General features: G+C 38.3%; 1 protein-coding gene and 1 pseudogene across 6 annotated transcripts in view; one reads left to right on the top strand and one right to left on the bottom strand.

Annotated features, from left to right (window-relative positions):
* SUCLG2 (succinate-CoA ligase GDP-forming subunit beta) overlaps positions 1 to 13481 on the top strand; it is a 294153-nt gene that overhangs the window by 138023 nt on the left and 142649 nt on the right. For all 6 annotated transcript variants that reach the window (XR_007095763.1, XR_001740350.3, NM_001177599.2 and 3 more), the window contains exon 7: positions 7687 to 7783. Coding sequence is in view for 4 of the 6 variants with exons in the window: in NM_001177599.2 (NP_001171070.1) it covers positions 7687 to 7783 (97 nt within the window). In the remaining 2 variants the exon portion in view is untranslated. The remainder of the gene's footprint in view (positions 1 to 7686; positions 7784 to 13481) is intronic.
* Positions 2213 to 2673, bottom strand: NDUFB4P1 (NADH:ubiquinone oxidoreductase subunit B4 pseudogene 1; annotated as a pseudogene).

Here is a 13481-nt window from a genome sequence, read left to right as displayed (position 1 = left end):
AGGTGTCCACTTTGAAGAAGTTCCTAGAGGCTCAGCAATAGGTGGCTTTTCATGGCAGATAAATAAATCTGGAGTGGGCAAAATCTGCTGACCACATATTTAAAAGCTCAGGAGGTGAACATAATAGAGAGTTCTAGAGAAGTTAATAACAGTATAATGTACATCACAAGATACTGCCCCCTCACTACATATTATACGAGAAAATTAAGAGTTATTTACAGCTCTTAAATGGCTTATTCTTGTTTTCCTGGTACCTGAAACACTCTAGGTTTTAAATGAGTTACCTATGGAAGGAAGACGAATATGTGAGAACTGAGGGATAAGTAAGTGGCCATATTGTCAGTATACCTTTGAATTAATTTATCGAGGAAAGGAAATAAAATGTTTTAATTTGTTTTTTTCTTTTTTCACTGCTAACTCCATGAAAGGCTTTAAATCTTCATTTTCTCAGCAGCTTGGAATGAGCACTGATAGGGTGCTGCTCAGTCTGCTGTGCCTTGGGGAAAAGAGACAATGAAAAATAACCATTGTTCCTCAGGGGCTCACAGACCGGTAGATATCTGCCTGCTGGCTGAGAGGATACAGGAAGAGGGACGGATAAAGGAATGTGAAGGAGAGAGTGGGGGAGGGGGCAGCGGGCAGAGGGAGAGAGAGGTTGATCTCAGCTGTAGACATGTTGGAAGTTGTTCATCTAGGGACACCTGAGTGTATTTCTACAGTAGAAGGGATATATGGCTTGGGATCCCAGGGAAAGCTGTGCATTAGAGTTGTAGGCTTGGGAATCTCTGCTTTATGGGGCTTGCTCAAGCTGTGGGGATTAGTGAAATGCTCTAGAGGGCCAGTGTACAATGAGCAGATGGGACAGTGTAGAAGGGAAAACATTTAAACAATCATCAATGATCTTTTCCTAAGGAAATAGTATCTTAGAGGTACCTTAGGTTCAACGTGACTTTGAAAGTTAAGTTACTTAATTTTCATCTAGGATGTGGTTTAGGCATTTGGAGGTACCTCACTCATGGTTGAATATCATATAAAATGATAGTCTTATAAAATTATTAATATCTTTCCTGTGACTCATGCCTGTTGTCTCTAAAATGTGATGAATATTAGACATAACAAAAATAAAGATGATACTTTGCTTTACATAAAAATTACCAGTGTTTGTTCCCAACCAAAGTCTCTTTCTGTGAGAATTTGTTGAAAAACGTTAAGACATAGGAAAGCTTAATATAGTAGTTCCCCCTTATCTGTGGAGGATACGTCCCAAGACTTCCAGTGGATGCCTGAAGCTTACCTACTACCAAACCCTATATATACTCTTTTTTTCTGGATATTCTAGATATTTATACTTAGGATAAATTTTGACTTATAAATTAGGTACAGTAAGATATTAACAACAGTATGAAATAGAACAATAGCAATATACTGTAATAAAAGTGATGTGAATATGGTCTCTTTCTCAAAATACCTCATTGTACTGTACTCACCCTTCTTGCGATGATGTGAGATGATGCAATGTCTACATGGTAAGACGTGGGGTGAGTGATGTGAGCATTGCGATGTAGCATTGGGCTTCTCATGACCTCCTGGCAATACTTCGTGAGGGACATCTACTTTGGATGATCCTGGATCATCAAACCATGGGTGTCAATGGCTGGATGTCAGGAACAGATGATGTCAATGGTCAGGGATCCTGGATAGCTGAAGGTTTTTCACCACAACCTTTTAGAAGAACATCATAATTAGAAGTTTGTCTCTTTCTTTTTAGGTCATCTAAGTGTGGCTGTAGAGGTTGTAATCCGTCAGTGACTTTAGTGCTGTGTTCCATCCAAGGATCTTATTCCATAATTTTGTCCTTTCCATTTAATAACTTGGACCTCAGTAGACCATGGGTAACTAAAACCACAGAAAGGGAAACTGAGGATAAAGGGTGACTATTGTATGACTGAAACTTACAAGTTTGTCAAGTGTGTCTTAATTATCATCTATACTGTTCATTTCTGAAAACATGAGTGCCACGAATTGTCAACATGTGCCTCTAAGGTTTAGGCTGATGAAAAGATCGGATGGTCCAAGTCAGTGCAAGATCACTAACACCTCTTGAAGTGGTTTGTACTTCTGGCTAGATTTGAGAGGCGTACGTGAATATTGATGATAATTTCTGGAATGCAAGAAAAATATTTAAAATTCTTAACCTGTTGAGATTTTTGTTTGATTAATAGACGATTTATTTCAGCAAGAATACACATAGTCATCATTGCCAGACTTAATATGAGATGTTAAATGTTTGATCCAATTTTCCTTCCTGGATAAGTTTTTCTTTCCTATTCCTGTCAGTTTTGAATACATCATACCAGAAGAACAGGTGCCTAATTCCACACAAAGCTCCCAAGAGTGAGTTTTTAGGGGTGAAATTAGGATAGACATTTGCTGATCTTGCATAGGTCCAACAAATCAAGGCAGGATCTTCAATGAGCCGTCAGCAGTTAGGGTCGTTGTACTGAAGCAAGTACTGCTGTTTCAGCTGTGCTCTTATGGCCAACCGCTCGGCTTGCGCCTGCTGGGTTTCCAGGGATATGTCGTATTCCGCTGGGTAGAGGGTCGAGGGTGGAGTGGCCAGGCGCGATGGAGTATACTTTGGGAATGGCATCTTGGCGATGCAGCGCACAACTGTGCCTGCACGATTCTGAGGCCATTCCTCCTTATGCTCCTTTTGAGACATTTTTAAAGATTTTTATAAACTTGTCAGATTTTCATGTACGTATATTTGATTTTACGAATTTTAATTTTTAAAAATTACTTAACAGACAAAATAACAATTGATGGCAAAAGTGCAGAAAAACTTTTTGTACGCAGTGGTTATGAGCTGAGAAATAGATGGCAGTAGTAAGCGACTGACTGCAAGTTGACCAGGAGAATGTTTTCTTTGACCTGTGCTTATTTTTAACTTTTGTAGAAAGTGGGAATACTAATCTCAACTTGCCACATGCCATGCCATTCCCTGTTACACCTGGTCACACACATTCTGTCTGCTTAGCCCTTATAACCATTTAGTGAATAGCCTCTGGAATAAGACATCTTACAAGGGTTTGTCATTGTGAGATCTACAAGGGAGAACCAGCTTGGTTTGGAGATGTCTCCAAGATCAGATTATGTTTTAGTCTTGCTCAAAAAAATTATGGTCTGCCTTTGTGCAACAGTAAAAATTAAAACAGAAAATATCCCCAAAATGCTGTGCTAATGTATAATTACAATGGGATTAATGTGCAGAAAATGCAGCCTTGTACTAAGCAAAATTGGTGTAGGCTTAAGAAGTTCTGAAACAATTTAAGTGTGTATCTGTGGATGAATGGATAAACAAAATGTGGTATATACTATAATGGAACTTTACTGAACCTTGTAAAAGAAGATTCTGACACATGCTGCAGTATGGATGGGGCTTGAGGACATTATGCTAAGTGAAATAAGCCAGTTACAAAAAGACAAACACTGGATGATTCCACAGGTATCTAGTGTATGTATATATATGCATATCTTTTATTTTATGTATGTATGTATATAGAGATCTCTAATATCTCTATATATCTGGTATCTATATATATCTATACGTATTATCTATATACATATATATGGAGATATATATGGAGAGATATATATGTGCGTATATATAGAGGGGGGTGTGTGTGTGTGAAAATATATATATATATGGAGATGGAGAGAGAGGCAGAGAGAGAGATGCTATCTAGAATAGTCAAATTTATAGACACAAAGTAGAATGATGTTGCCAGAGGCAGTGGGAAGAGAAGAACGGGAGTTTGTTTAGCGATACAGAGTGTGAGGGAAGATGAAGAAGTTCTAGGAATTGGTTGCACAGCAATGTGAATGTACCAACTTGACCCTGCAGAACTGTGTAGACAAAAATGGTTGAGATATGGTGAATTTTATGTTTTGTATATTTTATCACAATTTTTTAAAAAGGAAGTTTTGAAGTAGCTGGATTAGATTATACATATATATATATATGTGTACCCAGAAGTTATTTCTATTATGTAGTCCCCACTTAGAACTGAATTAATCTTTAATTCAACCGATATTTATCGAGTGTTGACTCTGCAGAGGTTGTATCACTACAGTGGATGCCAAGGTGCCCAGGATACATAAGATGCCTGCCCCATGCAACTCACATTGCAAGGTCACATTGATGACCTAGAAAACCCCCTAAAATACAAAAAATATTCCGCAATGAAGTATTTGCTGGCTTCGCACTTTAACTCAAATTTTATTTGGATTAAAAAAATGGAAGAAATTATAAAGAATACTAGAAAAAATAATGGGAGAATTTTTAAAAATACTCTCAGAATGGGACTAGCCTTTTAAAAGTCTGACACAAAGCCAGAAGCCATATAAGAGTGACATTATTGTGAAATTTCCATGTGGCAAAAGTAACAAAAGCATGTTCAAAAGGTAAATGTTAAAGGGGCTGAGACAAGAGGATTGCTTGAGACCAGGAATTCAAGAGCAGCCTGGGTAACATAGCGAGACCCCCATCTCTAGAAAAAATTAAAATAAAAAATTAGCTCAGCCTAGTGGCATGTGCCTGTAGTCCAGCTATTTGAAAGGCTGAGGTGGGAGGATCATCTGAGCCCAGGAGTTCAAGGCTGCAGTGAGCCATGATTATGCCAGTACGCTCCAGTCTAGGTGACAAAGCAACACTCTCTTGTACACACACACACACCCCCCCACACACGCACACTCACACTCTTCCTATAAATTAATAAGGGACCAAAATCTCAATAGAAAAATAGGCAAAATTCACACAAAAAAAATAAGATGTCTCTTAAACTCATAGAATAATGCCTAAACTCATTCATAATAAAATAAATTCAAATTAAAACTATATGTGAGTGTACTCGTCTGTTCTCACGCTGATAATAAAGACATACCCGTGACTGGATAATTTATGAAGGAAAGAGGTTTAATTTACTTACAATTCCACATGGCTGGGGAAGCCTCACAATCATGGTGGAAGACGAAGGAAGAGTGAAGGGACTTCTTACATGGTGGCAGGCAAGAGAGCTTGTGCAGAGGAACCCCCCCTTTATAAAACCACCAGATCTCGTGAGACTTACTCACTATCATGAGAACAGCATGGGAAAATCCCGTCCCCATGATTCAGTTACCTCCCACTGGGTCCCTCCTGCAACACGTGGGAATTATTACAATTCAAGGTGAGATTTGGATGGGGACACAGAGCCCAACCATACCAGTGAGATACCCTTTTTCACCTAACACACTGACAAAGATACAAATGGCTAATGATTGTGAATTGGAAAATAGTGTCTCTGATAATTTTCACTTTTTAGGAGTGGAAATCAGGGACAGCTTCTATGAAGAACAATTTAGGCCGGGCGCAGTGGCTCATGCCTGTAATCCCAGCACCTTTGGGAGGCTGAGGTGGGCAGATTACGAGGTCAGGAGATTGAGACCATCCTGGCCAACGTGGTGAAAACCCGTCTCTACTAAAATATAAAAAATTAGCCAGGCTTGGTGGCACACCTGTAGTCCTAGCTACTCGGGAGGCTGAGGCAGGGGAATTGCTTGAACCCGGCAGGTGGAGGTTGCAGTGAGCTGAGATCGCGCCATTGCACTCCAGGCTGGCAACACTGCAAGTCTCGGTCTCAAAAAAAAAAAAAAAAAAAAGAACAATTTAACAGAACCTTTTGATGTTTAAAATGGCTACATTCCTTTTTGCTTCACTCTGGGTAATTTATCCTACAAATGTTTAATCACATGTATGTTAAATATACAGAGATAAATAAGGCAGTGCTGTAATGTCAACCTATTAGAAACAATGCAGTTGGTCATTATTTAAGTGAAAGGTTAAAGGAATTATAGCATATCAATACAGTAAGATATTATTTAGTCAATTAAAAAGATATGATTGATCTACCTGTGTTGCTGATGAAGTGTCTCTAAAATTCTGTTAAGTAAAGAGGTATTGGAACAAGTTTGCTTTTTTAAGACAGATGAAGGAGGAATGCGTACTGTGTTAGGCATAGACTGTCTCTCATATGAAGGCTAAATTTATGAGTTGGCTGCCACTGGGGGCCTGTGTGGTTGAGTGGTACAATCAGGGAAAACCCTTAAGTTCTTCGGGAATTTTGTATCATATACATGTATTATCTACCTATGCAAATATTTAATATTAAAAATATTTAATCATACTCATTATGTGGGTTCGTTTATATCTACTAGCCCTCAAATTTGGATTTAAAAATGTTTGTAGGTGTTTATAAAATACATTAAGATAGCATGAATTAAATCTGGAGTTCTTCAGTCAAATCTGGAACCACTTGCAATATTTACACCAGTGGGGATTTACTTTAGGGATGTGTTTCATAGGCGCTGCAAGAGCTGAGTACTTTAAGAGTTGACAGAAAGGCAACCTAAAGCATATCCAACCACATGCTCCAGGAACAAAAATGAGGCAGTGGTGTTACTGGACCTTGTATACAGAAGCTAGAGCCCTGGTGGGCTTCTCCAGTGGGAGCAACAGCCAGAGGAGGAGGTGCTGCCCAGATAGAAAGAGAGGAGTGGAAGTACCCTGGCTCTTCCCTTCTTCCCACCTCCATCTCTCACCACTGCTTGCCATTGGCTGACCCCAGCTGGAAACCAGCTGACCCAGGAACCTAGAAAACTCAGCCTGTAAGAGTCACCTTCTCTGATATACAGAGTAGAGTTGGAGAACTGAAAACGGATCTGCTGCAAGTAATCCGAGGCTGGCACAATGAGTGAAATGTGGCAGTGGGAAAACTTTGGCTTGGAAAATGGAGCTGGGAATGAGACTGATACCTAATTCTTCTCCACGATCCACCCTCTTGCTCTGTGCATCACATGCTCCTTTTGTTATTGCCAGGAGCTTTCCAGGGTAGGGGCATGGCTCATTCATGCTCTTATTTCAAGCGCCAGCTCACAAGATACCAGCTTGCTGTGTCATAGGCAGTGGAGAAATGTTGGTTGAAAAGAATGAATGAATGAATGAGTGAATTTCAAGCAGAGGTGAGAAAAATGAAGTCAGGGCATAACAGGGCAACCTTGGATATTCTTGCCCTTTGTGGTTAATGCCTTTGGGACAAGCTATTTTCAGTTTGAACTTGTGCTGTTCAGTAACTACACTATTAAGCACTTTCATCTTCCTGTTTTGCAACAATTTTCATTAGACACTCAGTAATTGTTGTTTCACAGATTATGGGTTGGATTGATGAATATAATAACTGTTTTATTTCAGCACAATAAGGAAAACCTAGTCATTATAAACTCTCAAAATCATGTTTACCTTTTACTTAAATGGAGCTTGTTTGTATTAATGATTGTAATTTATATTGCAGCATAACTCTGCTAATAGAGACATGATAATTTACAAAAAGATTAACAACGTTTTAGGCCGTACTGAAAATATTTTCTTTTCTTGATAATGGTCTCTTCTGGTGTCTAGAGGAGAGCTGAGCAATTCCTTTTAATGAATAGCAGTGGAAATTAAAATAATTATGCTTTTCTGTTTTTCCCTTCAGAAAACCTAACTGAAAATAAAGACATAACTTGCTATTTTTAAGGTTTCATTAATCCAGCAAAATAAATTTTCTTTTACTGCTTTGGTGTAATTCTATTTCACTTGATCACATTTAGGCTGCAGATCAAATTACGAAGCTGTATAATCTCTTCCTGAAAATTGATGCTACTCAGGTGGAAGTGAATCCCTTTGGTGAAACTCCAGAAGGACAAGGTAAAAAAAAAAAAGAATTGAGAAAACAAATGAATGTATTATAATTATTTATGCAAACTATAAATTGCACAAAAGACTGTAGCAGCAGCTTTGCATAAATTTCTTTCAGTAATTTAATTTCTGCCATAGTTTGAAATGCTCCCATGATGCAGTTGAACATTTCAGCACTTAGGTTTGTTTGTAGCCAAATGCCAAGCCTCTAAGGAAGCTACTGCTTGTTTTACTTAAAAACATTCAGGCTTGGTGTGGTGGCTCATGCCTGTAATCCCAGCACTTTGGGAGGACAAGGCGGGAGGATCACTTGAGGCCAAGACTTTGAGACTAGCCTGGGTAACATATTGAGACCCTGTCTCTACAAAAATAATAATAATAATAATAAATAATAAAAGGAAAGAAACATTCGTTCACCTCTTTCTCTCCACCTTATTTTTTTAGGCCCATCACTGCTGCTACTAAGGTAAAGATTTGTGTAGAAATGGGAGCCACACACTTGGGTGTAATGAAGGCATATGCCTTTATGGAACTGGAACTTTTCGAACGTCTTTAGTTTGCCTAAATCTGTATATAATTTCACCTTGTGTTCTGGGCTGGATTTATATCACCTTGGTAAAGCCCCAAGTCCCCCCCAGTTGAACTCTTTCACCTTACTTGGAGAGCAGTTTCTGCTTCAGGCAGGAGGAGGTGGCATTTTTGTGGTGAAGGTTTCTCCTATCCATCAGGTAGTTGTAGAGTATAAATAACTTTTATATATCAGTACCTACCACCACTGCACTGTTTCTTGCATACAGCAAATATTCCATAAGTTCTTATTAATTTGATAGCAAAAGCTTGTAAATGTGTGTGTGGTAAGGGGTAAAGTGGAGTTCTACACACAAATTCACAAGCTTTTGCTGTCAAAACAGTGGAATGGCAGGTGGATAGGATAGGGATACCAGACTGTAAGCACCATGAACCTTTTCTTTTTTAGTACATTTCACCTCCGGTGTCTTGCATGTTGTCTAGCTTGTTACAGTCAGTAAATAGTAATTTGCATTGAATTGTTAACTGGGGTGAATCATTATGTGTAAACACATCAACTTTTGGACCAAGACGGATGAGACAATATTTTCTCCTTAGCACATTTCAGAGATTCTGTAGCTAGACTCAGAGAAACTACACTATCATTTCCTTCGAACCCAGAGAGGCCTAAGTATAAATTCTGTATCTGCCATGTTTTGGCTACGGATCTGGGCAAGTTATTTAGCCTGCCTAAGTTTCAGGTCTTTTTTTTTTTTTTCAATCTTTTCAATCAAATAAGTGGTAGAAATGATGTCTAGCTCATAGAGTGTTGTGAAAATAAGATGAAATCATATATGAGTATGCATGCAGTGTCAGATACAAAATAGGCTAGTCCCTAACATTCATAAAATGAAATTCCTCTTCTCAGGTAGTCTCAGAGTAGCCCAGGAATAGTATAGATTTCAGACGAGAACAAGCAAAGATTTTATGTTTAGGAAGCCATTGAAGATAATATATTTCATGATTTATACAGATGACCATCCGATAGAAATCTGTGCTTGCTCATTTATAAACAAGCTACCTTTATTCATAAATATTTTTTTTAAAGTTGCTATGGCTATCAAATTGTGTGTATTTTATAAAGCTAAGAAAGGAAGGGGAAGAAGCTGTTTCTTGAGCTTATATGCCAGACACTGTGATAAGCTTATACCTATATTCTTTCATATTGTTTACCACAACCCTGAAAAATTAGGAGTTGTTATCCCCATTTTATAGAGGATTGAGAAACCATTGTGACTGTCCCAGGGGCTAGTCAGAAGTTACAAAAGCTGGGATTTGAACCCATGTCCCTCTGAGTCCAGCGTGCATATTGATTCTGATACTCCAGACTCAACTGCAGCTACCTGCCTTTTCTACTTTCTCCCATTTAAACTACTTATTTGCTTTCACGTACATGACCTAGAAGTAGTCTCCAGTTTGGCAGGGAATACCAGTCAGAATTCATGTTGACAATTAAATCCAAGAAATGAAGGAGAAGGTTTAACAAAAGTTCTTAAAGGTCATATATTGCTTTTTCAACTAGTATACACAAGCAGCCTGGTTGCTTTGCATGAAGAAAAATGGAAATGTAGCTGTAGCTATGGAGTGGGATAAAAATGGCTGCAATACATTTTTTATTCAACCCTTTGGGAAGCAGTCACGAGCTGTGTTCTCGCTTCAGGGAACAGGGGTATGGGAACCTTTTCTTAGACTGTGTTTATAAAACGTCATGAGTCTGAAGTTTGATTTTTAATTATTAAGAGAATGGAAGAGTCTTGAGATTTTTTTTTAAGGGAATCATCATAAAACATTATATACAGTTCATTAAAACATAAGTCTTATGTGATATTTTTAAGAGCAAAATTATCTTTAGTTATTAATTTGTTCATTGTACCATAAAAGTTCAGCAATTGAATTATAATCACAATTAAATGAGTATGTTGGTTTATAACTCTAATGAGCAGTAGTCAAATTAAACCCAATTAGGAAATGGTGATTAATGACCAAATGTACAAATTGATCTTCATCATTATCACAGTCCCCTCAAGCTATCTTTTATTTAGAAGCTGTAAAAGCAGTCATTTATATTTTAGCAATATTGATAATCTTAATATTTATAATCTGAGTATTTGTTAGTTCTGTTTAGATCAGTAGTAGCAGAACATTTCACGGTAAAATTTCCACATTGAAACTTTGATTTAATAATTATTCTTTAAATTTAAAAGTTTAAGGAGCTCAGCATCACATTGTACCAGCTCTTTTTTGTTGTTGTTGTTTCTTTTTCTTTTTCTTTTTCTTTTTTATTTTTGAGACAGGGTCTCACTCTGTCGCCAAGGCTGGAGTGCAGTGGTACAGCCTCAGCTCACTGCAGCCTCCACCTCCCGAGTTCAAGTGATTCTCCTACGTCAGCCTCCCGAGTATCTGGGATTACAGGCGCCCACCACCGCGCCCAGCTAATTTTTGTATTTTTAGTAGAGACGGGGTTTCACCACGTTGGCCAGGCTGGTCTCGAACTCCTGACCTCAGGTGATCCACCCACCTCGGCCTCCCAAAGTGCTGGGATTACAGGTGTGATCCATTGTGCCTGGCCTGTACCCACCTCTTTGTAGGAAACTTTTTTTGACCTTCCATTGGTCAGTGAGTGCTATTTTTAATAATTCAGGTTATTGTTCATATATTTGTACAACAAGTGATGCCGTGTTGAGTGAAGAACAAGGGCCTTGATAACATCTATGCTGCTAAGTCACCCATAGGGAATTTTTGACACGGAGAAAGAACTGCAGTCCAAGAGCTCTTTTTTCCTATGTGATTAATAATCTGATTCAAAAAATATAATTTGACACTACTAACTGCAATGTAGTTTAGTGACTCTTAGCTAGGATTATAATGGTTGCTAATGACAGAAAGTTATATTAGCTTTGTTTTTGTTAAAAAGTTATATTCCTGTAACAGGGAAGTCTAAGGTGTGGACTGGCTTAAGGCCTGAAGAGAATCAGGGATTTGCTGGTTCTCCAGCCCTGCTTGCCTCCAAATTGGCTTCTTTCTCAGCCAGGCTCTCAGAAGCTGGCAGCAAAGATGGCTCCCAGTGCTCCATAACTCTCCCTCAGCAGCCCCATAAATCCCTTCAAATGATTCTCATTGACCCTGCTTGGGTCACATGTCTATGCCCATGCCAGCCACTGAGCAAGAATCATATGGTATAGGAGACATACAGTTTCTTAATGGAAGAAGGGACACTGAGTCAAAACATGCCTACCAGAAAGATGCAACCTTATTGAAACAAAAATAAACTGTTACTTAGTCAATAGAAATTAATCGTTATTTTCCTTGTTTGTCCAAATGCAGTGCCAATTCATTCATTAATTCTGCAGCCAAGCAAGAAGCAATGTTTTATCATTATTTATTTATTTATCTACCTGCGCATTCATGTATTCATTCATTCATTTTGCTAGCCACTGTGAAATTTCATGTCATATTTCTTCTCACCTTCAGCCAGCTCTATCTGTACACAGACTCCTTTTTCTGATGTCTTTAAAGCAAGTTGTACTCCATGGGAAGGGTGGGCATTTTGTCCCCCAGGGAACATTTTTAGTCATCACAACTTGGAGGCTATGCTACTGGCGTGGATAATGCTAAACTACAACGCACAGGATGGTCCCTGTTCACAGAGAACGACCTCACCCAATCTGTCCATAGTCTAGAGATTAAGAATTCTTGCTTTGGGGCATCTTCATCAGTTGGAAGCTGAAATCCATTCACTGGGCCAAAGGAATGAGATCCAATTTGAAGCAGTGACTATCTGGCTAAGATTCCGTGAGAATTAAAGCTGGGTGATCCACAGTTAACTGGCACATCAAATTCCTTTCTTTCTTCGGATTGATTTCCCTAAATAACCACCCCGTTGCTTCTTGTTAGCAAGTGCCCATGTTGTTGGTGGGTGTTTCTCTGTTTCTGTCTTTATACACAAGACTCTATTTTCAAGAACATTTTCGGTTCTCTACCTCCCCCAACCCCCCTACCCACCCCATACCTATTTTCTCTTTTCACAGCCACTAAAAAAAAGTTCTAAAAAGTATACAACTCTCAGAACATCAATATTTAATGGGAAGTGGGACTAATTTGAAAGTATCAGCATTTTAAGGCCATTTTGGCAAGGCGTGTTTCAATAGTACATTATGGTTATTTATCACAAATCAAACGCAGTACGTTGCTTGAAGACAGATTATTTTTCAAACTAATTATGATAGTCTTATTTCCTGCTGTTTTATGTTCCTTTTATGTGTAAGTTTCCCCTCTGAAATGTATTCTTCTTTTGTTTAATTCTGTGACACATTCTTCTGTTAAAATTCTAGGGTCAGAGGCCTCTAACTGCCAGTCATGTTTTCTATCGAGATTGTTGAATTAGCAGCTCACAGAATCTCACGCCACTAAACAAAACAACAAAACACCCTATGCATATAAGTACCACAGCTTTCTTTGATATTCGTTCAGAAGGAAAATACATTTGTATAATCTATCAAGCATGTAACAATGTGCTTTTGATGGTGAAAATTGTTTTATAAATATTAATAGGTATGTTTCTTTCACCCACTTTGTATAAAAAATGGCCTTTGTTCAAGATGAATTTTCTTTAGAATTGAGTTTCATTAATGTGACGTTGACAATCTTAAGGTCCGGACCAAGCTCAGCACCTCTGAAAATGCATTTTGTATTGTTTGTTGTTTTATTAAATGAGAAAGCTAAGGGTTTAAGCAGGCAAGTTTATTTTATCGCCCTGCTGTTGACATAGACATCAATCCATTTTTAACACGTCAATTCAAGAAGTGCATTTAGAAGCGTCTTACAGGAGGAAATAAGCATGTAAGAGTCAGTTAGTATTCCAGGATTAATCTACTCCTTTTGCGTAGCCACAGGTTTTTATTTATTTTCTTTGTTATTTTACTTTTTTTTTGGTTTTCATGTTAATGGAATGCACTTTTTCTAAGTTTCTCCTTCACTATAAAATATGACACCTGTGTATCTATCACTTGGTTCACACAAGTGGATACAAGTGTGAGAACTGTGACTTAGCAGGGATTGGCAAACTTTTTCTGTCAAGGACCAGTTAGTAAATATTTGGGGGTTTGCGGGCCATACAGTCTGTATTGCAACTACTCACCTC

This window comes from Homo sapiens, chromosome 3 (assembly GCF_000001405.40).
Source record: "Homo sapiens chromosome 3, GRCh38.p14 Primary Assembly".
Classification (NCBI taxonomy): domain Eukaryota; kingdom Metazoa; phylum Chordata; class Mammalia; order Primates; family Hominidae; genus Homo; species Homo sapiens.
Note: the sequence above shows the minus strand (reverse complement) of the source record. Positions and strands in the feature narration are given on the sequence as shown.